At 42.9% G+C, this 24,228-nt stretch overlaps 2 long non-coding RNA genes across 2 annotated transcripts, besides 3 other annotated features; both read left to right on the plus strand.

The window, feature by feature from the left end:
• Positions 1-1,248: 1,248 nt before the first annotated feature.
• Positions 1,249-13,299, plus strand: LOC107986391 (uncharacterized). The gene is made up of 5 exons (XR_001742528.2): positions 1,249-1,588; positions 1,681-1,823; positions 3,287-3,353; positions 9,024-9,329; positions 12,544-13,299. It is a non-coding gene; the product is annotated as an uncharacterized LOC107986391 (long non-coding RNA).
• Positions 3,239-3,358: an enhancer, noted in NCBI's record as "active region_23022". NCBI's record gives its function as "activates an Ori minimal core promoter by ATAC-STARR-seq in GM12878 lymphoblastoid cells {active_cell/tissue: GM12878}" and the evidence as "EXISTENCE:reporter gene assay evidence [ECO:0000049][PMID:35858748]".
• Positions 21,608-22,548: an enhancer, noted in NCBI's record as "NANOG-H3K27ac hESC enhancer chr5:124306904-124307844 (GRCh37/hg19 assembly coordinates)". NCBI's record gives its function as "activates a minimal SCP1, AML or CMV promoter by ChIP-STARR-seq in naive H9 embryonic stem cells {active_cell/tissue: H9 hESC(naive)}" and the evidence as "EXISTENCE:reporter gene assay evidence [ECO:0000049][PMID:30033119]".
• Positions 22,549-23,488: an enhancer, noted in NCBI's record as "NANOG-H3K27ac hESC enhancer chr5:124307845-124308784 (GRCh37/hg19 assembly coordinates)". NCBI's record gives its function as "activates a minimal SCP1, AML or CMV promoter by ChIP-STARR-seq in naive H9 embryonic stem cells {active_cell/tissue: H9 hESC(naive)}" and the evidence as "EXISTENCE:reporter gene assay evidence [ECO:0000049][PMID:30033119]".
• On the plus strand, positions 22,677-23,646 carry LOC124901055 (uncharacterized). The gene is made up of 2 exons (XR_007058918.1): positions 22,677-23,045; positions 23,199-23,646. It is a non-coding gene; the product is annotated as an uncharacterized LOC124901055 (long non-coding RNA).
• The last annotated feature ends 582 nt before the right edge of the window (positions 23,647-24,228 follow it).

Raw genomic sequence — 24,228 nt, forward strand, 5'->3', positions numbered from 1 at the left:
TCCCATTGGTAGATACTATTATCCCACTTAAAAAGATGTGGAGCCCACTAAGTAGTAATGCTGGAATTTGAACCCAGGTAAGTCGAGCTCCAACACCTGTCCTCTTTCCGTTATGCCTCAACTTCCTTTAGATTCAGGAATCAGAGAAATCACATTATATACCAACTTTAAAATATGTCTCTTGACACAATGTACAGGATAAATGACATCTGTACGTTGTTAAGTTCCAAGATAAAAAAGTGCAAGAACCTTGAACCTCAACTAAGATTCATAAAAGAAAGAATGAGGCATTTGTTCTGGAGAAGACCAGCAACTAGGAAGAACAGATTTTTTTTCTTTTTCTTTTGGTAATACTGCCTGAGGGCCCAAAGTGGTCAACCTTTGTCATAATTCATTTGGCAGGCCCGTAAAGATAGCTCAGTCATTTAGTCTAACAAAATATTTTTTAGCAGTCAGGGTACATACTTGATTTGGATCCAGGGACAAATGGCTCTCCAAGGGCTTGCTGGCAGGTTGATGACGCGATGCATCAACTGGATGTATCAGGACTTAATAGTACTGAACCATGGAGCACATTTAAAAAGCTCACATACGTTCTCAAATATCATAGAATATAACAAATTTCATTGCCTTCAACTCAAATGATATTTAGAATATGTGCTACATCAGTCTTTCTGCTCCGGGATTCAGTAATGGTCCAAGGTTGTTGTCTTCTTTTCAAATGTAAAAAGCTTAACTTGAAATATGGGTCATTTATCTTGGGCATGGTTTGAAATGGCATATATTCGATCATGTTGTAATACATAATATCTTACAATTTAACCATAAAGGAAGTTACAGCCACACATCATTTTGTCCAAAATCACTGAGAATGGAGATGCGCTACTTAAACACATTTTCTTGAATACCTTTCTTTTACTTTGAAATCCTCCAAAATTATAAAACTAACTTTTACTCATTCAGGCTTGATTTAAACAGAATCAGCTCCACAATTGAGCTTCCTAATGACTTAAAGTTTTTGTGTAATTAGCTTTTTTATTACTAAAGTCGGGGAAAGGAGCACTAAAGACAGTCTTACGGATTTGTCTGGACCTACCTTCAACCTTCAGCACTTCAGAGTCAGAAGGTGTTGCTTTTGCCCTGCCTTCTTGTCAGTGATTATGCTTTCTTCTTTTTTGCTTACTCTGATTTTTATCTCAGAAAATAGATATTAAACTTCTAAATCTAAAATTCCAAAAACAGAAATACCAATCCCATTTATGCTTTCTTCTTGAGTTATGTCTCTTGTGGAGATGGTTAATTGGTGACCCTTCTCCTTTGCCCCCATTCCCAAAAGATATGTCTACCTCTCAACCTGCAGAGCCTATGAATATTGCCTTATCCAGAAAAAGGGTCTTTGGAGATATAATTATGTTTCTTCAGAAGAGGAGCTTATCTTGGATTATTCAAGTAGCTTCCAAATGCAATGACAGATCTTTGTAAGAGATGCATAGAGGAGACAGATGTACAGGAGGAAGCCAAGTGAAGACAGAGGCAAAGATGAGTGATCCAGTCACAAGCTTCTGACTGCCATCAGAAGCTGGAAGAGGTGAGGAACAGAATCTCCCCTAGAGCCTCTGCCTACACACTGATTTAGTTTTTTTGTTTTGTTTTTAACTGTTTTGTTCTTTTTCTGTTTAGAGATGGGGTCTCGCTATGTTGCCCAGTCTGGTCTCAAACTCCTAGCCTCAAGTGATCCTTCTCCCTTGGCCTCCCAAAGTGCTGGGATTACAAGCATGAGCCACGATGGCTGGCCCTGAATTTGGACTTCCGGCCAAAAAACTGTGAGAAAATACATTTCTTCCATTTTAAGCCACCAAGTTGGTGCTAATTTGTTACAGCAGCCACAGGAAACTAATACAGGAGGTTTCTGTCTTTTCCAGACTGTGTAGAAGAGCTACATATTATTGGCTTTGCTTTTTTTAACAAGTAAATTTATATGTTTTGTTAAATTGTTCTTTGCTCAAACTCTGTAAACTTCAGACAAATTAAGTTTAACAGAGGTGAATTGAGCAAAGAACAATTTATGAATTGGGCAACACATGCCACATCCTCCCCTCACCCACCAGAATAAATTCAGAGTGATTTCCCTCCTGCCATGTGATCAGAGAGGATTTGTGGACAGAAAAAGGAAAGTGAAGTAGAGAAAATGGAAGTGAGGTACAGAAACACCCTGATTGGTTACAGCTTGGCGTTTGCTTTACTTGAACACTGAAAAGTTGGCTGCTTGTGTGTGGTTAAAGTAGCGCTTCTGTGATTGGCTGTGACTTGGCTACTTGTTACAAGAGTAGGTTGCAGTCCGTTTACACATCCAGCTAGGTTACAGCTCACTGCAGTATGGAGAAACCTCTAGACCAAACTTAAAATATGTAAGGAGGCAGCTTTGGGTTAAACTTTTTTTTTTTTTTTTTTTGAGACAGAGTTTTACTCTGTCACCTGGGCTAGGAGGCAGTGGTGTGATCACGGCTCCCCGCAGCCTCAGCTTTCCAGGCCCAGGTGATCCTCCCACCCCAGCCTCCTGAGTAGCTGGGACTACAGGTGTGTGCCACCAAACCCGGCTAATTTTTGTATAATATTTTTTGTAGAGATGGGGTTTCTCCTGTTGTCCAGGCTGATGTCAAACTCATGAGCTCAAGCAGTTCACCCGGCCTTGGCCTCTCAAAGTGTTGGGATTACTGGTGTGAGTCACTGCACCTGGCCTGGGCTAAACTTAACAGTTTTCAGTTTCACTTGTGCAGAGACACTTTTCAGTAGCAGTGTTCGCTGGCGCCCACATATACTCTTAAAGCGAACACACTAACACCTACTTAATACCCTTCATCTATTTGCTTGTTTTATTTATTTATTTTTTTTTAAGAATTAAGGTGAAATGGCTTTAAAGCAAAAGATTATTGCCAGAATTAGAAAGCACTCAGGATAAAAGTGTCTCTCTGATAAAGTCCATCCTAAAAGTATGTCTTCAAACTCTGTATGGCAGCAAAACTGCTCGTGATTTAACTTGCTTTGTCTCCACTTTCTACATCAGTTTCTTTCTCTCTTCATGTAGTTTCTGAAATATTTTTGTGGTAGACTTTACAAATCTTAACCAATGTATCTAGTTCAAATGTCCAATGGAAGATGTGCTCCCTTAAATGTAGGCATGGCTATCTATCTTGCTTTAGCCAATCATATATGAGCATCACTTGGCGTCAGAGTATTTACTTCCTAATGCTCAACCCTCAATTTCTTTCTTCCTCTGCCATTTCAGTTATGGAGGCTTGTGTTGATGTGGAGGTGCAGTGATGTGGAAGTGGCCTGAGATGCTGAGCTCACAGGTAGAGGACCGCACCCCCAAGAAATCTCAGCAGGCTAGTAATAAACAAGAAGTACACCTTTGTTGTTTGAAGCCACTGGGGCTTTGCCGTAGTTTGCTATTGTTGCATAACCTAGACTATTGTGAATGATACATTTTCTTAAGTTTAAGTTTGGTGATTAATTTTAAATTCTGGGATCTGCTCTACTGTTTTTTTGGAATTATTTCAATGACATAAATATTTTCTGAGATATATTACCTTGCAATGAGATGACCTTAGGGACTTGCACAAACTTAAAGTACAAAATGAGAACTCAGTATTGTGAATTCAGCGGCCTTGGTCTGGCAAAAAGACTAGCAAGTATTAAAATGCAGATTCTGGGCTGGGCACAGTGGCTCATGCCTGTAATCCCAGCACTTTGGGAGGCCGAGGCAGGTGGATCACTTGAGGTCAGGAGTTTGAGACCAGCCTAGCCAACATAGTGAAACCTCGTCTCTGCTAAAAATACAAAAATTATCCGGGCATGGTGGCGCGTGCCTATAATTCCAGCTACTCGGGAGGCAGAGACAGAAGAATTGCTTGAACCCGGGAGGCAGAGGTTGCAGTGAGCTGAGATTGCACCACTGCACTCCAGCCTGGGAGACAGAGTGAGACTCCTTCTCCAAAAAAAAAAAAAAAAAAAAAAAAAAAAAAAATGCAGATTCTGAGTTAAAAGTCTCCTCTGTTCCTTGTTGTGAAAACTGCTTGTTAATTGAAAAACAGTGACAAGGTCCTATAAGGTATTTTACTTTAAAATTATATACAATAAAAATGTTTGCTAAATGAAGAATCATCATAAAACCAATTTGTTTTACAGCTAGGAGAGACTTTTGTGTTTATCAAACCTGTTATTTTTACTTTCTTTGGCAAGTGGTTGATTCTTTTTCGGGGCAAAAAAAATGTACACTATGTACCAGGAACAACTTATCATATCAAGAAATCTAGGTAGTTACTAAAGACTACTGGTTAGGTCTAAAGGGCCTGGGGGCGTAACTAAAGATGCTGTCCCTGTCCAAATTAGGATAATGTTAGCATCAAGTTTTCAATCAATAGCTTGATCATATCAAATATACTTAAAATCAGGAGTTCATAACAGTATATAACAAAAAAGGCTGGACTCAGTGGCTCATGCCTGTAATCTCACAACTTTGGGAGCCTGAAGTGGAAGGGTCACCTGAGGCCAGGAGTCTCATGTCAGACTGGGCAACAAAGCAAGACCCCATCTCTAAATTTAAAAAAAAATAGAGAAAGAAAAAGAAAGTAACCTCATTGCTCCATTTTGAAGGATGCTGAGGAAGCAACTCACTATTTTGAAAATTTGTAAAAATGCAGGGATATATCCTGTCTTTCCAAAATGACTTGTACCTCAGGGCAATCCAGTAGTTAGCAAAGGGGCACTTCTCTTTCTTTTTTCTTAAAGACAGGTCTCACTCTGTCACCCACAATGGGAGTGCAGTGGCTCAATCTTGTCTGCAACCTCTGCCCCCTGGGCTCAAGCAATCCTCCCACCTCGGCCTCCCAAGTAGCTGCGACTACAGGCACGCGCCACCATGTCCAGCTAATTTTTAATTTTTTTTTAGAGAAAGTGTTTTGCCATGTTGCCTCAGCTGGTCTCAAACTCCTAAATTCTCTCTCCTCAGCCTCTCAAAGTGCTGAGAGCGATCCTCTCTCCTCAGCCTCTCAAAGCGCTGGGATTACAGGCACAAGCCACTGCACCCGGCCCGGGACATTTTTCTTTATAAACACATTTAGTTAAGAAGTGAAGAAGAAATGATATAACTACAGCATTACTGTTTTGCAACTCATAATACAAACATAGGCCTAGGCATTGATGATTAATGACTGCTAATTTTACAAAACAGAGATAGCCAGATACTATGGCCTCCTAATTCAAGTACATACCATCTAACAAGTGTTATTGTAGAAAAAAAAAAAAAGAAAAAATCCTGAATCTGATTGAACTCCAGATCTAACTACTAACTTTCTTGATTGCATCATAAGAATTAGTGTTGCTGAGAGCTGTATAATTAAACTAGGGACAGAGGAGCATGTTAAGCAACACTGTGAATATGCAATTAACAAAATCTAGATCGTGGAAATTCTACAGGTCTAAAGACTTACTTCGTTTAACAAATATCAGGAAAATTTGAATACTGTCTTGGATATTTGATGATATTAAGGAACTGTTAATTTATCTAGGTATGATAATGGAATTGTGGTTATATTTAAAGAAAATGGTACTGATCTTTCAGATATACATCAAAATATCTTGAGATGAAATAATATGATATCTGAGATTCGCATGAAATAATTCAGTGGGAAATGGTACAGTGGTGGATGAAAAGTAGCTGTGAATATAGATAAAACAAAATTTACTTGAGGTTTTAATTGTTGAAGCTGGGTGATGCATAGATAATAAGTAGTTCATTATGCCATTTTCTTTACTTTTGCATATATTCACAATTTTTAATAAGGAAAATTAGAAATAAATTCTCATTTTGAATATGTAAAAACCATGTCTAAAGCAGGATTCCTTGGAAAAATGCAGATTTGGGGAACTGTACAAAGATTTTATCATTCCAGAAATGAAGAAAGTTATTGAAGACTTTAGGGGTCATGTTGCAGGGACTAAGTAGCCTAATTGAAGAGGTTTCCACTAATGAAAATAATGGATCTAGACAATGATTATCAATGGCAGCTAACAACTCAAAAGGAGAAATAACTAGACATTAAATGCATCATAACGGAAGTACACAATACCACCTAAGAAGCATTCTTACAAAAATTTAATACCTGAAATGATCAAGCTTCTAGATCTAACTATAGAAAGTACAAGAGACAGAGGAATATATTCAATATCATTACAAGGAAGCAATTAGAAAAGTCCAGACTGAGAAACTCTATTGACAAATGACCTAGGCTCTTCTCCTCAAATGAACTGAAGGAGAGAAGAGGGGAAGGGGTGAAGAAAGAATAAGAGAGAGTGAGAGCAGAAGAGAAAGAGGGAATCTATAGTTTACAGGAGTCTTAAGAGACATTTTTAACAATTAAATGTTACGGACATCTTTTAGATTTTATTCAAAAAGTATTTTGAAAATTTGACAGGGAAATTTCAACACTGGATATGTGAAAATAATAATTATTGTTAATTTTTTAGTATTTAATGTTATTTTGGCTTTTTAAAAGCAAAGTAGTCCTAATCTTTCAGTAATATACTATGAAATATTTATGGATATAATGATATGAACTGTGACTTATTTTATAATAACCCAGAAGTTGAGTTACAGCATAATAAAAATTGACCACAAGTTGATAATTGTTGAAACTAGACAATAAGTAATCGAATGAGCTATTCTATTCTTTCTACCTTTGTACATTTGAAAGTCACATTATAAAATGTTAATAACAACAAAACTCCAAAAGCCAAGGCCCAAAGACATTTAGTGACTTGCCCGATACTATGTATGTAATTAGGAGCAGTTCAGACCTGAAACTGGACTCTTGACTTCCAATCAAATACTCTTTCCCTTATAACAAGCTGTTTTGCAGGGAAGCCAAACTTCTGGGATACCAGATACCTGCCCAAAGCTTGACAAGTCAATGGGTGAACTGGGAAATACACTATGGTGCTATCAAATACTCATACAAGCAGCTCATCAGCAAGCAGCCAAGTGGCAAATTGGGATTGCCTGGGAGTGCACAGCAGCTGTTGACTTTTGAAGTATTGCCCGGAGCTCTTGGCTTTTCCCCATTTGGTCTTTAAGAGAGCCATTTGAAAAACAGGCTAGCCTTCAGAATGCCCAAACATAGTTGAAAGGCTGCTTAGTTTGTACCTAGACTTTTCTTGATTGCATCATAACAATGTTTTTGCTGAGATTTATATAGTAAGACCAACATGATGTCTCATGATGATAGCTAAGGTTACAGGGCCTGGACATCAGAGATTAGAGGATAGTCAGGTTGGAGTTTATTTATTTATTTAATTTTTGAAATGGAGTTTCACTGTTATCACCCAGGCTGGAGTGCAATGGTGTGATCTTGGCTCATTGCAACCTCCACCTCCCGGGTTCAAGCAATTCTCCTGCCTCAGCCTCCGGAGTAGCTGGGATTACAGGCGCCTGCCACCACGCCTGGTTGATTTTTGTATTTTTAGTACAGATGGGGTTTCACCATGTTGGCCAGGCAAGTCTCGAATTCCTGACCTCAGGTAATCTGCTTATTTCCACATTTACTAAGTTGGCTGATTCACTGGACACTAAAGCTAAGTAACCTTTGATGTGGGTCTGGCATTGTTGAGACACCTGAGCTGGTGAGAAGGTCTGTGGGCAGATGAATAATGAAGATCATACCGAAATTCAGAAAGGTGACAAAATAGCAGTGGCAGCAGTACCCAATCAGGAAAAAGGCAGGCAAATCCTTCAAAGTCAGCAAATACTGAACCAATATTTAAATGCAGCTAGCTAGGCACATGCTCATTGCCATTACATATCATCCTTATTTCTGGGTTTTCTTACAATGTATTCAGAGGTAGACGATCTCTGTGGAGGGGATTTGTGGGAAAGAAAGGCAAGGTCATATTTTTCTATTGTCAGTGCTAATATTAATACTCTCAGCTTTTCAAAGTCGGTATTCAGGTGGTTGCTCCTGGTGGAGATCTATTGCTTTCTCCTGTCCAGTGTCCCGTTTGTTTTTCCAGCAACATCCCATACTTTCTTTGAAAAACAATCACTTCCCCATCATGTGCAGTGTTGGTAAAATTGTTAATCAAATGGGCACCTCAGTGAAGTTTTGCTAATCTGACTCTTTCTAGAGGAAGTTTGGATATTGCAGTTATGATTCACCCCAGCAGTGGCATCCTATAAGAGAGTGGCTATTGGATCATGCTCCTGGAGCTCCAGAACTTAGCTACTCAGAAACTTACCTTTAATTTTGTTATTTGTTCCCTATGATCTATAAGATTCTCTTTTTGCTTAAGTCAGAATTGGTTTATGTTGCTTAAAACCAAATCTAAATGACATACCATTCACAAATCATAGCCAGCTACTAAAGGAACAAATCAAGAATATTTAATATTCCTCTAGTATGAGGTAAGGCAGTACTTTGAGCCATACTTAACACAGGTTTTTGGCATCTAGTAGAATAAAATCTTTTTTTTTTTCTGAGACGGAGTCTCGCTCGGTCACCCAGGCTGGAGTGCAGTGGCGTGATCTCGGCTCACTGCAAGCTCCGCCTCCTGGGTTCACGCCATTCTCCTGCCTCAGCCTCCCGAGTAGCTGGGACTACAGGCGCCCGCCACTATGCTCAGCTACTTTTTTTGTATTTTAAGTAGAGATGGGATTTCACTGTGTTAGCCAGGATGGTCTCGATCTCCTGACCTTGTGATCCGCCTGCCTTAGCCTCCCAAAGTGCTGGGATTACAGGCGTGAGCCACCACGCCTGGCCTAGAATCAAATCTTTTTTGCTCTTTGACTTATTCTTAGAGAAAAATCAATTAGGATACTGAAATTTTGGTGCATTTTTGGTTTTCCTTTTTCTCTTGAAAAAAAATTCATTGAAAAGTCATATTTATATGAGCTCACAGTGCAATATACCAATTTCACACTCATATTTTTCTTTCTTTCTTTTTCTTTTTTTTTCTTTTTTTTGAGACAGGGTCTCTCCCTGTTGCCTAGGCTGGAGTGCAGTGGCACAATAACAACTCACCGCAGCCTCGACCTCCTGGACGCAAGTGATCATAGTTTTATTTCTATGCCTTCTGAAGGACTAGATACAGAAGACAGTAATAGCTTGAGCCTGAGATGGGAAAAAACTTTCTTAAAATCAAAGAAAATTCATGATGGCCAGAATTTACACACTGCTTCAATTCTTTTCATCTATATTTTCAAAAAGATACTTGGTCATACTTTGCAAAACTTGTCACAGAAAAGAAATTATAGTCTGGATAAACAAAGAGTAAATGTAAGTGATAAATACTTTTAGTTAAATATTCATTTGACTACAGAGTGAATCAAGACCATTTTTTGGAAACCTTGAGAGACAGGAATGGGCTTCTTACCAGATAAGAAATGCAATAAGCCTTTCTTATTTACAGGTCATGTGCAATCCCTTGAAGATGGATGATTATCTTTAGCCTTCGGGTAGGGACAAAGTAGAACTCTGGAGCATTTTTCATTTCTTAGGTTCATTCATGAAGGTCCATTGTGGCTCCCTGTTATAAACTGAATTGTGTCTCCACCAAATTCATATGTTGAAGCTCTAACCACCAATGTGGAGATAGGACTTTTTTTTGTTTGAGATGGAGTCTTGCACCATCGCCTGGGCTGGAGTGCAATGGTGCCATCTCAGCTCACTGCAACCTCTGCCTGCCTGGTTCACGCAATTCTCCTGCCTCAGCCTCCCGAGTATCTGGGACTGCAGGCGTGCACCACCACACCTGGCTAATTTCTTGTATTTTTAGTAGAGATGGGGTTTCACTATGTTGGCCAGACAGGTCTTGAACTCCTGACCCAGTGATCCTCCCACCCTGGCCTCCCAAAGTGCTGGGATTACAGGCGTGAGCCACTGCCACCGGCCAGAGATAGGAGTTTTAAGGAGGCATTTAAAATTAAATGAGGTCACCAAGGTGGGGCCCTAATCCAATAGGATGGGTGTTCATATAAGAGGAGGAAGGGACACTAGAGATTCCTCTCTTTCCGTGCTCACATGGCGGAAAGGGCACGTGAGTACACAGTGAGAAGGCTGAGGGCATCTTGATTCTGAACTTCTAACCTCCAGATCTGTGAAAAAATAAATTTCTATAGCTTTAAGCCATCCAGTTTGTGGTATTTCCTTATGGCAGTCCTAGAAGACTAATACATTCCCTGACGTGTTCTAACAACACATGGTATCGCCATATACAAACTGCCCTTAGGCCGCAACACTGTGATTTGTAGGTAAAGTCAATTTAACGATTTTTTTTTTTTTGAGATGGAGTCTCCCTCTGTTGCCCAGCCTGGAGTGCAGTGGTGTGATCTCGGCTCACTGCAAGCTCTGCCTCCCGGGTTCACGCCAATCTCCTGCCTCACCCTCCCGAGTAGCTGGGACTACAGGCGCCCGCCACCACGCCTGGCTAATTTTTTGTATTTTTAGTAGAGATGGGGTTTCACCATGTTTACCAGGATGGTCTCGATCTCCTGACCTCGTGATGTGACCGCCTCAGCCTCCCAAAGTGCTGGGATTACAGGCATGAGCCACCGTGCCCAGCCAATTTAAGGTTTTTATCAATAACTCCAACTTGACAGATTCTCCGTTTCTTCTTTCTCTATTATGTGCCATTCCCTGCACCCTGCAATTCCTGAGCTCTGTTGCTGCTCAGTGTGACCCGGTGATGCTTCTGGTACTGTGGCAGCAGATCACCACTGCTGTGTTCATGATGCTTAGCTCAGGAAGGTTCCTGGCTTCACCCAGGAAATAATTCAAGGGTGAGCCAGTGGTATTAAACCACAACTTCTCCTGAAGCGGCAGTGCGGTGGCAGCAGAGGTACTGCTCCTTGCAGAGCAGGGCTACCTGGTAGGCAGCATGCCCAGAGTGGCAGCTCAGATGTAGTTCCACACTCATATTTATACCGAATTTTAATTATATGCAAATTAAGGAGTGGTTTATGCAGAAATTTCTAGAATAAGGGTAACTTCTGGGCTGTTGGGTTTTTGCCATGAAAAGGAGCTATAACTTCTGGGTGTTGCCATGGAAATGATAAACTGATAAGGCACACTGGTGGATGTTTTATGGGAAGGTGCTTCCTCTCCCACTTGTTTTAGCTGGTCCTCAACTTGGTCGGGTCCCTGAGCCCCACCTCCTACTTCATTCTGGCCACGTGAATGGTGGTGCTTACCTGCTCTTAAACTCCCAAACTTTAGGAGTTCTGATACCAGTGCTTGACAGAGTTCCTTCACATTTTTTCCATAGTTTTGGGCTTTCGGGCCTTTATTCTGTCAGTTCACCTTCCTATTCTCATTTTCTTTTTTGAGACAGAGCCTCACTCTATCCCCCAGGCTGGAGTTCAGTGGCAGGAACTTGGCTCACTTCAACCTCCACCTCCCAGGTTTAAGCAATTCTCATGCCTCAGCCTCCTGAGTAGCTAGGATTACAGGCGCCCACCACCACGCCTGGCTAATTTTTAGTAGAGACGGGTTTCGCCATGTTGGCCAGGCTGGTCTTGAACTCCTGACCTCAGGTGATCTGCCCACCTCGGCCTCCCAAAGTGCTGGGATTATAGGCATGAGCCACCACACCCAGCCTTTCATTTTATTATTTCACAACCACATATAGCTTTTTTTTTTTTTTTTCTCGGCTTACACAAACAATCTCTGAGGGTAGGTCAAAATGTATCCAACTCCAGACTTCGTTTTGTATCTGGTCCGCTATGCAGAACTCCTTTCTCATCGTGGGTTTTATTCTACAGGATTTTATTGTTTCTTCTGCAATCTAACCTCCATTGCCCTCATTTGCACCAATCAGTATATGTCTAAACCCAGATCGTGAACAGGGTTCAAGATCTTGCCCTTGAGTTTGCTGTAACCTGTACAAATCAGTGGATATATGCCATAAACTGAACGTCCCCCCTTAAATTCATCTCCAGTGTGATGGTATTTGGCTGATGCCTTTGAAAGGTGATTAGGTCATGAGGTCAGAGCCCTCATGAATGAGATCAGTGCCCTTATAAAAAAGATCCCAGGGAACTCCGTGGCTACTTCCTCTATGCTGGGTGAGGAGTCAGCAAGACAACTACATAAGGAAGCGGACCCTTGACAGAGACGCTGAAGCTGCTGGCACCTTAGTCTTGGACTTTGTAGCCTCCAGAAGTATGAGAAATAAATTCCTCTTGTTCATAAGCCACCTAGTCTATGGCATTCTGTTATAACAGCCCAACCAAGGTAATACAATAGTTCTCCCTTATCCATAGGTGATATGTTCCAAGACTCCCCAGGGGACGCCTGAAACTCTGGATAGCATTGAACCCCATATATACTCTGTTTTTTCCTATACATACATAACTATGATAAGGTTAATTTATAAATTAGGCACTGCAGGAGGTTCACAACAATACCTAATTACAAAATGGAAGAATTGTAACATAATACTTTAATAACAGTTATATAAATGTGGTCTCACTCACAAAATATCTTCTTGTAGTGTATTCACCTCTTTTTGGACTATGGTTGACTGGATAAATGAGACCACAGGAAACAAAACTGCGGAGAAAGGGGACTTCTTTCTGTCTAGACAGAAGCTGAAGGATTGCCGAAGTTTTGAAGCTATCACAGCCAAGCCTCATCTCCAGCCAAGTGGTTAGCAGACTCCCTTGTGGCAGTTTTACCAATTGGATTTTTAATGTTTCATTCCATTTTAGCTCAGCTTCTAGGACAGAATCTGTGATATAGAGGTGAATAATATATTCAAATGAATGAGGACGACAGCTCTGTCAACAGTTCAGAGAGTCCCAGAAAGGGCCTACTGTCTTCTCATGGTTTTACATTTTCCTGCCTGCCACCCATCCTGCAGCGTCTTCCCTGACACAGCCTGAGCTTCTTTAGCACTCCCACCCAAATTTCCTTTTATTTCTGTGCCTTTGGCAATTGCTTTTCCTCTACTTGCCTCCAATATGAGGCAGAAATGTTAATATGATCTCTTACTCTCCTCTCCAGTTCTCTTTGTTTCTCAGAACATTCTAGAGAGCATCTAGTAATAGTGACAGCCCATGTCTCTGTATTCCTTGCTTTCCTTCATCTGATTAAATAATACTGAGGAACAGAATCTTGGTCCCTCTTGAGTTTGTCCAAATACCATGTACAGGCCAGCATGGCAGCTTCCACCCTTTCTTTGAGGCAGTCAGGTTGGAGGGGGTCCCCTGGAGAAACTCCAACCAGCCTGCCAATGCGGTGGAGCCTCCAGAAGTCGTACCGTTTGCAGCGGGGAGGAGCTTGGCCCTGCCTCTTCCTGTGGAACCTGGGATTCAAAGGGTGGGCCGGAAGTGCTCTAGCCAGGGGACTCTGGCCTTATGGAGGATCCCTGTTTCCTCCTTTTTTTTTTTTAAACCCTTTTCACCTAATAAAACCCTGCTTTTCTCACCCTTTAAACTGTCTATGAGCCTAAATTTTCATGGCCGTGGGACAGACAAGAACCCCATCTTTGCTAAACCAAGGAAAAGTCCTGCAACATTTTTGGCACGCAGAGTGGGGGCTGGAGAGGAGGTGAGTGAAATGGGGATTCAAAACCTCTCACTGTTGCTCCTAAGCATGTTCATCCTTGGACTTCTGAATGTGGGAGAAAGGCCCCCAAACCCTGTCGCTCCCAGGGGTCAAGGGAAAGGCCCTTCCCTTCTTTTTTGGGGACCGACAGGCGATGGGTTGGGCGGGGGCGGCCCTCCTCGCTCCCCTGTCCTCTCCCTGCCAGGCAGGGAGGCATAGGCCCAGGGTCCGCACAGCGGGCTGGCTGGTTGCCAGCCGCAACTGCTGCAGCCTTTCCCTTCCCCAGCCAAGGGGTTTTACTCCATCTTTCAGTAATTGAACTAATCTCCCTGGTAGAGGAAGCACTTGCATAAGAAGAGGTTTCTCCCCAGGCGTTTTTAAACTTTTTTTTTTTCTTTCCTCTTCTCCACCTTGACAGCAGCTAACTTTTAATTTTTTTTTTTTTTTCCTTTTAGAGGATGTTTTTACTAGGCCAGGCCCCACAACTACCACTGTTTATATTTTCTGCAAAGATTTGGTTGTGAAATCACGCCTCCATCTTTTTTTACATCCTGGGGGCATGGCCATAACCGCTTAGCAAAGCTTTGTTTCGCAATCCTGCCTTAGGGAGTAAGTTTCTCCCTGGTTTAATATCTGCCTGTTCTCCCAGCCCTGTCTCATGAAGAACCCCATCCGGGGACTGGGTTTTCTCCTGCCTGTCCATGTAGTTATATGTGTGTTTGTATATGACGTCTGTTAAAAGAGTTCTAATTAATTTGGCCTAAAGAAGGACAAGTGCTTGAATTTAGTTTTTTTTAATGGGAAGTGAAAAGCTGTGGTACCTTTCGGTTCATGTGACTTTAATCTTTGAGAAATAAAAACAGCCCTAAAGAAATATTGGTAAAATGCAGGTCAGATGCAAGGTTTGCTAAGTGTTGTGAGGTTACAAACAGCTTTTTGGGTTTTGAGAACTATTTGACTTGCCGGCTTCACAACTGGTATGGCCTGGGGATGTATGGAACTAACCACGCCCTTAATTAAGAAGGCAAACCTTGGTTGCAGTTAGCACACAAAGCAACCTACAAAGTTTTACCTTAAAGTTAAAAATTGCTAGGAGTTACCATTGTAACATATAATTGAGACTACTGAAAGTAGATTTACATGCAAGGTGTGTAAGAAAAGTAAAATGTGTTTTTTAGTAAAAGGGTATAAGAAGGCATGGAAATGCAAACTTTTGCCTAGGGTTAAAGGATTGTTTTGATTTAAATTAGGAAAAAGTTGAAGGTTCAATGAAGTGGTGGAAGAATTTTGGAAATTAATCTTGCAGAAGAGGTTCTTTGTGTGAACACATTAAATTCACAGGGGTTGTAAAAGGTTTTTGCTTCTTTACATTTCTAAGTCATCATTTTGGCAAAATAAATAATTTATGGTAATCTGGAACTCTATTTCATGTAATCTGGAACTCTACTTCATAATATCAAGTGTTTTAAACCTTGAACATTTAACAGCTTTCCCGAAATCAAACTTCAGTTTCAAAATTGTCTTCCCTGGCACCTGGCTTTTCGAATACTTCAGAGGGCCCCTGAAATATCCAGAAAAGAGAGGTAAATGGGATTATTTGACAGGTACATGGGATTGCCAAAATGATGTTCAATCTTTAGGTTATATTTTTGGTAAATAGTGCTAATATATATTCCAAGATTGTATGGGATTTCTAGAATTCTAATGTCTGAGTATATGCTATCAATCACGATTAAGGTTGTTATGTTAAGTTATTGTAAACTACAGAGATAACCAAACTTCTTTGTCAATTGTGTTTCTAACTGTAACTACCTTGGACATTTGCTATTCACCAACAATTGTCTTGTTTTAATCCTTTTCAAAAGATGGTTTATAATGAGGTATAGAACTTTAACAGGTGCTCTCAAATGTAGGCTTCTGATAACTTTAGAGATTGTAACATTGGAATAAAAGAAAATGTACAGGACTCATAAAGAGCTGAAATGCTCATGAATAGCAAGCAAACAAAACAATAGTTCACTAAATATAGACTGAACTCAGAAAGCTGAAGCAACCTTTTTGACTTTTGGTTGGAATATTGCTGATCCATGTTTTGTTTTTCAGAGTCAAGGAAACTTATTTTGAACTGTTTACAGCCTTTAATAATTAAGGTATATACTCCTGTGATCAAAATTTGGAGCATGTTTGTTTCTCTCTGCCTGGTTCCTCTAGAATTTGGTAACTATGAGTATTCTTAAGGCAGTATAGTTGTTTGCATCAGTGCAATAAGAATCCATTTTTCTTTTGCAAAAGGACACAAGTGGAGAAAGTAGTTATTTTACTAAGGCTTTGACTAGAAGGGTATGCTTCCCTTTAAGGAGTCAAGCGCGACTTGCAGAGCCAATAAAAGGCCCATGGGGAAACTGGCCTCATACCCTTGTCTATGCAGTCCCTGTACAGGGTTCCTGACCTGTGGTCAGTAAAGAATGTCACTTTCTAGCAGGTCCAGGAGCTCCAAGTTTATCTTGGGACCTTAAGAGGGAGGATCACCCAACTCGCAGGTATTTGAGGATACAAACCCATGGCTGGGCTGGGCTTTAAAAGGTCTTATCTGTGATTCCTCGTGGATCACACTTCCATCAAAGCCAATCCAAAAGGCCTATGTAGAAATAATTATTCTTGCTGCATTTTATGCAAATAATCAGGCCAAGTATAAGACTAAAGTCTATTTAAATAACTCGGTCCTATGATCATTTGTTTCTTAACAAAAATGAGGACTGGAGAGAGAGAAATTATGTTTCAAAACTTATATATTTGTCATTAAATTCTAAACTCACAAGTTGTTTTTAAGTTTTTGCCTACCGTTTAGACTAACCCTGCTTGTTCCTGTGAACCTACCAGTAATTTCTGGCTGCAGCTCAGAAAGAATGAAAGGGATGGGTAATGTGGAAATCTGGATCAGTATTTTAGTTCTGAGCAATTATTCTGCAAATCCTGCCAGGTGTTGGAATAAATAGGGTTCCCATGATGTGAAGGTTTCCTTTTGGGGAAAGTAAGACCAAGGGAACTAACCAAAGTCAAGCGCCATACACCCAAATCCTAGCAAGCATAACTATAGCTGCCAGCTAGCAGGGTGTGCCACAAGACATCCCCTTTCCTCTCCCTTGTTGGAGGAGGAATCAGTTCCACAGCTTCACCTTAGCATTTAGCTTATGATAAGGAGTCCATGCAACACCCCCAGAGACACATTTTTGTCCCAGATCCAATTCCAAGCTTTGGGTTAAAGATCTAGAAAGAAAACTGGATTTAAGGGATCCAGAAGTAGACAGCAATAGAGGTTAAAAGGCACAGCGCAGGTGAGTGTGGCTGATTCCTGCTGATTAAGCCAACCCCAAGCTTCCTGTTTCATGGATAAAGGCACGTTAGTATCCATAGCATAAATGAGGTCTAGGGAACTCCAATGCTACTGACAGTAGGAGGAATAGAGGCATATGTTAGAGCAGTTTCACTCGTATGCCTGTCAATAGACCACCAAACAGGCTTTGTGTGAGCAACAAGGCTGTTTATTTCACCTGGGTGCAGGCAGGCGGAGTCCGAAAAGAGAGTCAGTGAAGGGAGATAGGGGTGGGGCCGTTTTATAAGATTTGGGTAGGTAAAGGAAAATTACAGTCAAAGGGGGTTTGTTCTCTGGTGGGCAGGGGTTGGGGGGGTGGTCACAAGGTGCTCAGCAGGGGGTCTTTTGAGCCGGGATGAGCCAGGAGAAGGAATTTCACAAGGTAATGTCATCAGTTAAGGCAGGGACTGGCCATTTTCACTTTTGTCATTCTTCAGCTACTTCAGGCCATCTGGATGTATACATGCAGGTCACAGGGGATACGATGGCTTAGCTTGGGCTCAGAGGCCCTGACATTCCTATCTTCTTATAGTAATAAGAAAAAATAAAACAAAATAGTGGTAAAGTGTTGGGGTGGCGAAAATTTTGGAGGGTGGTATGGAGAGATAATGGGCGATGTTTCTCAGGGCTGCTTCGAGCGAGATTTGGGGCAGCGTGGGAACCTAAAGTGGGAGAGATTAAGCTGAAGGAAGATTTTGTGGTAAGGGGTGATAGTGTGGGGTTGTTAGAAGAAACATTTGTCATGTAGAATTATTGGTGATGGCCTGGATGTGGTTTTGTATGAATTGAAAACGTAAACAGAATAAGAGGAGGAGAAAAACAGGTATTAAAGGACTAAGAATTGGGAGGACCCAGGACATCCAATTAGAGAGTGTCCAAGGGGGTTCAGTGTAATTAGTTGCTTGGTTGGTGAGTTTTTGGCTCTATTCTTGACAGAGTCTTTTTTTTAAGTTGGAGGCTGAGCTTAGTGAGTTGTGTTTTTAAAAGACCATTTGTCCGTTCTACCTTTCCTGAAGATGGAGGACGGTAAGGGATATGAAGGTTCCACTGAATACCAAGAGCCTGAGAAACTGCTTGGGTGATTTGACCTAGTAAAGGCCGGTTCATTACCAGACTGTATAGAGGTGGGAAGGCCAATCCGAGGAATTATGTCTGACAGAAGGGAAGAAATGACTGTGGTGGCCTTCTCAGACCCTGTGGGAAAGGCCTCTAGCATCTTGTGAAAGTGTCTTCCCAGACCCAGAGGTATTTTAGTTTCCTGACTGGAGGCATGTGAGTAAAGTCAATTTGCCAGTCCTGGGCAGGGGAAAATCCCCGAGCTTGATGTGTAGGGAAGGTGGGGGGCCTGAACAATCCCTGAGGAGTAGGAGAATAGCAGATGGAACACTAAGAAGTGATTTCCTTAAGAACAGATTTCCATGATGGAAAGGAAATGAGAGGTTCTAAGAGGCGGGCTAGTGGCTTGTAACCTACATGGAAGAGGTTATGAAATGATGACAGAATAGAATGGGCCTGTGAGGCTGGAAGGAGATATTTTCCTTGGTCTAAGAACCATTTGCCTTGTGTGGGATGAGATTGATAGATGGAAGTTTTAGTGGGGGAGTAGGTGGGAGTGGCCAGATGAGAAGGAGAAAAACTGCCATGAGGGATAGAAGTTGGAATACTAGCTGCTTTTTTTTTTAGCTACTTTATCAGTATAGGCATTGTCCTGAGCGATGGGATCTGATGCCTTTTGATGGCTCTTGCAGTGAATGACTCCAGCTTCCTTTGGAAGTAAAGTGGCTTTGAGAAGAGTTTTTATTAAAGAGGCATTAATGATGGAGGACCCTTGCATAGTGAGAAAATCTCTTTCTGCCTGTATAACAGCATGGTGGTGCAGGATATGGAAGGCATATTTGGAGTCAGTATAAATATTGACGCATAGTCCCTTTGCAAGAGTGAGGGTTCAAGTTAAGGCAATGAGTTCAGTTTGCTGAGGGGTAGTGGACGGGGGCAGAAAATATATGCGTCAGGTGTGAGGAAGAAAATAGATTTTGGAAGTTATGAGAACTGTAGAGAGTGAGTTGAGCATAGTTTGTGATTTTGAGGGCCTGTGAAAGTATTAAGACAGCAGCAGCCACTGCACGCAGACATGAGGGCTAGGCTAAAACACTAATGTCAAGTTGTTTGGACAGAATGGCTACAGGGCATGGTCCTGGCTCTTGTGTAAGAATTCTGACCGAACTAACCATGCCTAGGAAGGAAAGGAGTTGGTGTTTTGTAGAAGGGATTGGGATTTGGGAGATTAGTTGGACACGATCAGCAGGGAGAGCACGAGTGTTTTTATGAGAATTATGCTGAGATGGCAACAGATGAGGAAGAAATTTGGGCTTGACTGAAGTAATGGGGGCTGTCTGTGAAGCCTTGCGGTAGTACACGCCAGGCAATTTGCTGAGCCTGATGGGTGTCAGGGTCAGTCCAAGTGAAAGCAAAGAGAGGCTGGGATGAAGGGTGCAAAGGAATAGTAAAGAAAGCATCTTTGAGTTCCAGAACAGAGTAATGGGTACGGAGGGAGGTATTGAGGATAGGAGAGTTATATGGGTGGCACCATGGGGTGGATAGGCAAAACAATTTGGTTGATAAGGCACAGATCCTGAACTAACCTGTAAGCCTTGTCTGGTTTTAGGACTGGCAAAATGGGGGAATTGTAAGGGGAGTTTAAAGGCTTTAAAAGGCCATGCTGTAGCAGGCGAGTGATAACAGGCTTTAATCCTTTTAAAGCATGCTGTGGGATATGATATTGGCGTTGAGTGGGGTAAGGGTGATTAGGTTTTAATGGGATGGTAAGGGGTGCATGATCAGTCGCCAAGGAGGGAGTAGAGTTGTACTAGTAGATTAAGGTGGGGAGATACAAGGGGAGGATGTGAAGGAGGCTTTGAACTGGGGAAAAGGGCAGCAATGAGGTGTGGCTGTAGCCTAGGAATAGTCAGGGAAGCAGATAATTTAGTTAAAATGCTCGGCCTAATAAGGGAACTGGGCAGGGGGAGATAACTAAAAAGGAGTACATAAAAGAATATTGTCCAAGTTGGCACCAGAGGTGGGGAGTTTTAAGGGGTTTAGAAGCCTGGCCATCAATACCCACAACAGTTATGGAGGCAAGGGAAACAGGCCCTTGAAAAGAAGGCAATGTGGAGTGGGTAGCCTCCATATTGATTAAGAAGGGGATGGACTTACCCTTCACTGTAAGAGTTATCCAAAGCTCAGCATCCATGATGGTCCAGGGGGCTTCTGAGGTGATCGGGCAGCGTCAGTCTTCAGCCGCTAAGCCAAGAAGATCTGGGAAGGAGTCAGAGAGCCTTGGGCCAGAGTTCCAGGGGCTCTGGGAGTGGCTGCCAGGTGAGTTGACAGTCCGATTTTCAGTGGGGTCCTGCAGAGATGGGACACGGCTTAGGAGGAATCCTGGGCTGTGGGCATTCCTTGGCCCAGTGGCCAGATTTCTGGCACTTGTAGCAAGCTGGGGGAGGAGGTTCTGGGGGAACCTCTGGCAGCTGCGGTTCAGGCATTTGGAGTTCTTGTGTGCTGGAGATGTGGCTGGGGTTTGTCTCACAGTGGAGGCAAGGAATTGGCAACTCAGAAATGCGTTGCTGCCTGGTGCCTCCTCTCTATTATTGTACACCTTGAAGGTGAGGTTAATTAAGTCCTGTTTTGGGGTTTGAGGGCTGGAATTTAATTTTTGGAGCTTTATTTAATGTTGGGAGCAGATTGGGTAATAAAATGCATATTGAGAATAAGATGGCCTTCTGACCTTTCAGGGTCTAGGGTTGTAAAGCGTCTCAGGGTTGCTGCCAAACAAGTGATGAACTGGGCTGGATTTTTATATTTGATGAAAAAGAGCCTAAACGTTAACTGATTTGGGAGAGGTTGGATAAAGAAAAAGGAGTATTAACCTTGACTATGCCTTTAGCTCCTGCCACCTTTTTAAGAGGAAATTGCTGGGCAGGTGGGGGAGGGCTAGTTGAGGAACAAAACTGTAAGCAGGACTGGGTGTCAGGAGGGGAGGTGATAAAAGGATTATAGGGTGGGGGAGTGGAGGCTGAGGAAGAATTGGGACCTAGCTCGGCCTGGCGAAGAGCAGCCTGGGGAGGAGGGGAGAGGTCAGATGGGTCTGTAGAAAAGGAAGATTAGAAAGACTCAGCGACACTTGGGGTTGGGACTGAGGGGATAGGCAGGAGCGAAAGAAGGAGGATTTGGGACGAGTTGCCTTGGGAACAGACTGGGGAGGGACCTATGTGTAAAAGAATGCCTGGACGTCAGGTACCTCAGACCATTTGCCCATTTTACGACAAGAATTATCTAGATCTTGTAGGATGGAAAAAATCAAAAGTGCCATTTTCTGGCTATTTGGAACCATTGTCGAGTTTGTATTGGGGTCAAGCGGCATTGTAGAAGAAAATAAGGCGTTTAGGTTTTAGGTCAGGTGTGAGTTGAAGAGGTTTTAAGTTTTTGAGAACACAGGCTAAGGGAGAAGGAGGAATGGAGGGTAGAAGGTTGACTGTAGTGAAGGAGGCAAGTCCAGAGAAAAGAGAGGGTAGAGACATGGAGAGAAGTGTTGGGGGGTGCTTGCCCCCCAGGAAAGTGGAAAAGGGGTAGAGACATGGAGAGAAGGGGTCGGGGGGTGCTTGCCCCCCAGAAAAGTGGTGCTTGCTGCTAAGGGTGAAGGACCAAGGCAGGTGTCCCCACTTGTGCAGACCCCTCTGAAACGTGGGTGAATAATCAGGCAGGCATCCCTGCACGATTAAACACCAAGGGAAGACTGTCTTCCTGAGTCCATGACCGGTGCCAGAGTTTTGGGTTCATGGATAAAACGCGTCTCCTTAGTGTCTACCAGAAAAGGAAAGAAACTCCCCTCTGTCTTTGCTCTCCCCTCTGTCTTTGCCCTCCCCTCAGTCTTTGCTCTTGCTCCTGGTGGTCTGCCTGACATCTGAGCTTCAGCCTCCATTTATGCACTGACAACTCCCAAATTAAGAGAAGGGAGAAATTTAAGTGTGGCGCCAAGATTGAAAGGAGAAAGAGGTTGAGGGATAGTGAGAGAGGTTGGAGAAGAGAGTAAAGAGAGGCTGCTTAGCAGTGTTAAAGTTGGTGAGATGTTCCTTGGGCTGGTCAGTCTGAGGACCCGAGGTCGTAGGTGGATCTTTCTCGTGGAGCAAAGAGCAGGAGGACAGGGGATTGATCTCTCAAGGGAGGTCCGCTGATCTGAGTCACGGCACCAAAATTTCACTCACGTCCGTGTGAAGAGACCACCAAACAGGCTTTGTGTGAGCAACAAGGCTGTTTATTTCACCTGGGTGCAGGCAGGCTGAGTCTGAAAAGAGTCAGTGAAGGGAGATAGGGGTGGGGCCGTTTCATAAGATTTGGGTAGGTAAAGGAAAATTACAGTCAAAGAGGGGTTGTTCTCTGGCGGGCAGGGGTGGGGGGTCACAAGGTGCTCAGCAGGGGAGCTTTTGAGCCAGGATGAGCCAGGAGCAGGAATTTCACAAGGTAATGTCATCAGTTAGGGAAGGAACAGGCCATTTTCACTTCTTTTGTCATTCTTCAGTTACTTCAGGCCATCTGGATGTATACGTGCAGGTCACAGGGGATATGAAGGCTTAGCTTGGGCTCAGAGGCCTGACAAGCAGATAATTCCTATTCTCCAGGCCCTCCCTGCTTCATGGGTGCAAGCCACTTTGGCACACGTGGCGGTGCCTGCCAAGGTTGCCAGGACTCGGGGATGCAAGGATGGAAGAGGGAAAAAGGATGCTTTTTCCTCTCTCCCTCATGTATCTTGGGTATCAGCTAGGATGAGAAGGGAACCAGGGATCCCTGCTTCCCTCTTTCTAGATGCGTGGCCAACCACTGGGACTCCTTTGAAAAGTGCCTTCTTTTCCCTTTCTCCTCCTTTGTTCAGTTAGGTAATTTTGTTTCCATACTGCAGGACACTCCCTTCAGATGCATCCTCCAAACTGGAAAGAGTTAATTTCCTAAACCTTCAACTGGTTGGCTTAGGATTGGGCTCAGGGGAAGGGAACCCAGAAACTCAACATGCCGGCAAAAGGGTAAAGATTTTTTGCCAATTGGTCTTTTGGCCTGTCTCTCCCTGTGCAAACTGGTAAAAGGCCTTGGAATTTTTTAGCTGTCCTTACCCCTCCCCCTTGTTTCATTTTGATGCATGTCTTCTAATAACCCTGTTTTTCTGTTCTTGCCTTCAGGCCATCAAATTCCAAACAGGCAACCAGAGCCTCTGAAGATGGCCCCTTCTTCTGGGGATCCTCACATAGGCCTCGGAGGAAGCTCTGACTGCCGTTTCCCCAAAACAGCGCCCCCGTCTGCAGAAAGTGGTTAAGATTGGTCTTAGTCCTTATCCTTAATCTAACGGGAGTTAGATATACTTCTTTAGACGGGGGAATGAGACAGCCAGGTGGGAGGGGGTCCCTGGAGAAACTCCAACCAGCCTGTCTACTGAGGTGGAGCCTGGGAAGTTTGAGCCCTTTGCAGTAGGGAGGAGCTGGCCTTGCCTCTTCCTGTGTGGAACCTGGGATTCGGACGTCGGGCGGGAAGTGCTCTAGCAGGGGACTCTGGACTTGCGGAGGACCCCTGTTCCCCCCCTCATTTTTCCCTGTTTCACCCAATAAAACCCTGCTTTACTCACCCTTTAAACCATCTGCGAACCTAAATTTTTGTTGTCGCGGGATGGACAAGAACGCTGTCTTTAGCTAAACTAAGGAAAAGACCTGTAACACCTTACAGGGAGCAAGTTTGTTTTCCAGATGGAAAACACTGTGCACAATTGCGTGCCTCACACAGGTGTCTCGTCTTCTCTTTATAGGTTAACACCTAAAGGAGATAATTACTTAAAATCCATCATTCATTCGTGATGTTCCTTCTCATTTTATTATTTATTTATTTATTGACATGGATTCTTGCTCTGTCGCTCTGTCTGGAGTGCAGTGACTCGATCTCAGCTCACTGCAACGTCTGCCTCCCAGGTTCAAGCGAGTCTCCTGCCTCAGACTCCTGAGTAGCTGGGACTACAGCCACCATGCCCTGCTAATTTTTGTATTATTTTTTGGTAGAGATGGAATTTCATTATGTTGGCCACGCTGGTCTCGAACTCCTGACCTCAGGTGATCTGTCTGCCTCAGCCTCCCAAAGTGCTGGGATTACTGATGTAAGCCACTGCGCATGGCCGCCTTCCCATTTTAGAGAACAGATAACATCACTGAAGAATGCTGACAGTAC

This window comes from Homo sapiens, chromosome 5, assembly GCF_000001405.40.
Source record: "Homo sapiens chromosome 5, GRCh38.p14 Primary Assembly".
Classification (NCBI taxonomy): Eukaryota; Metazoa; Chordata; class Mammalia; order Primates; family Hominidae; genus Homo; species Homo sapiens.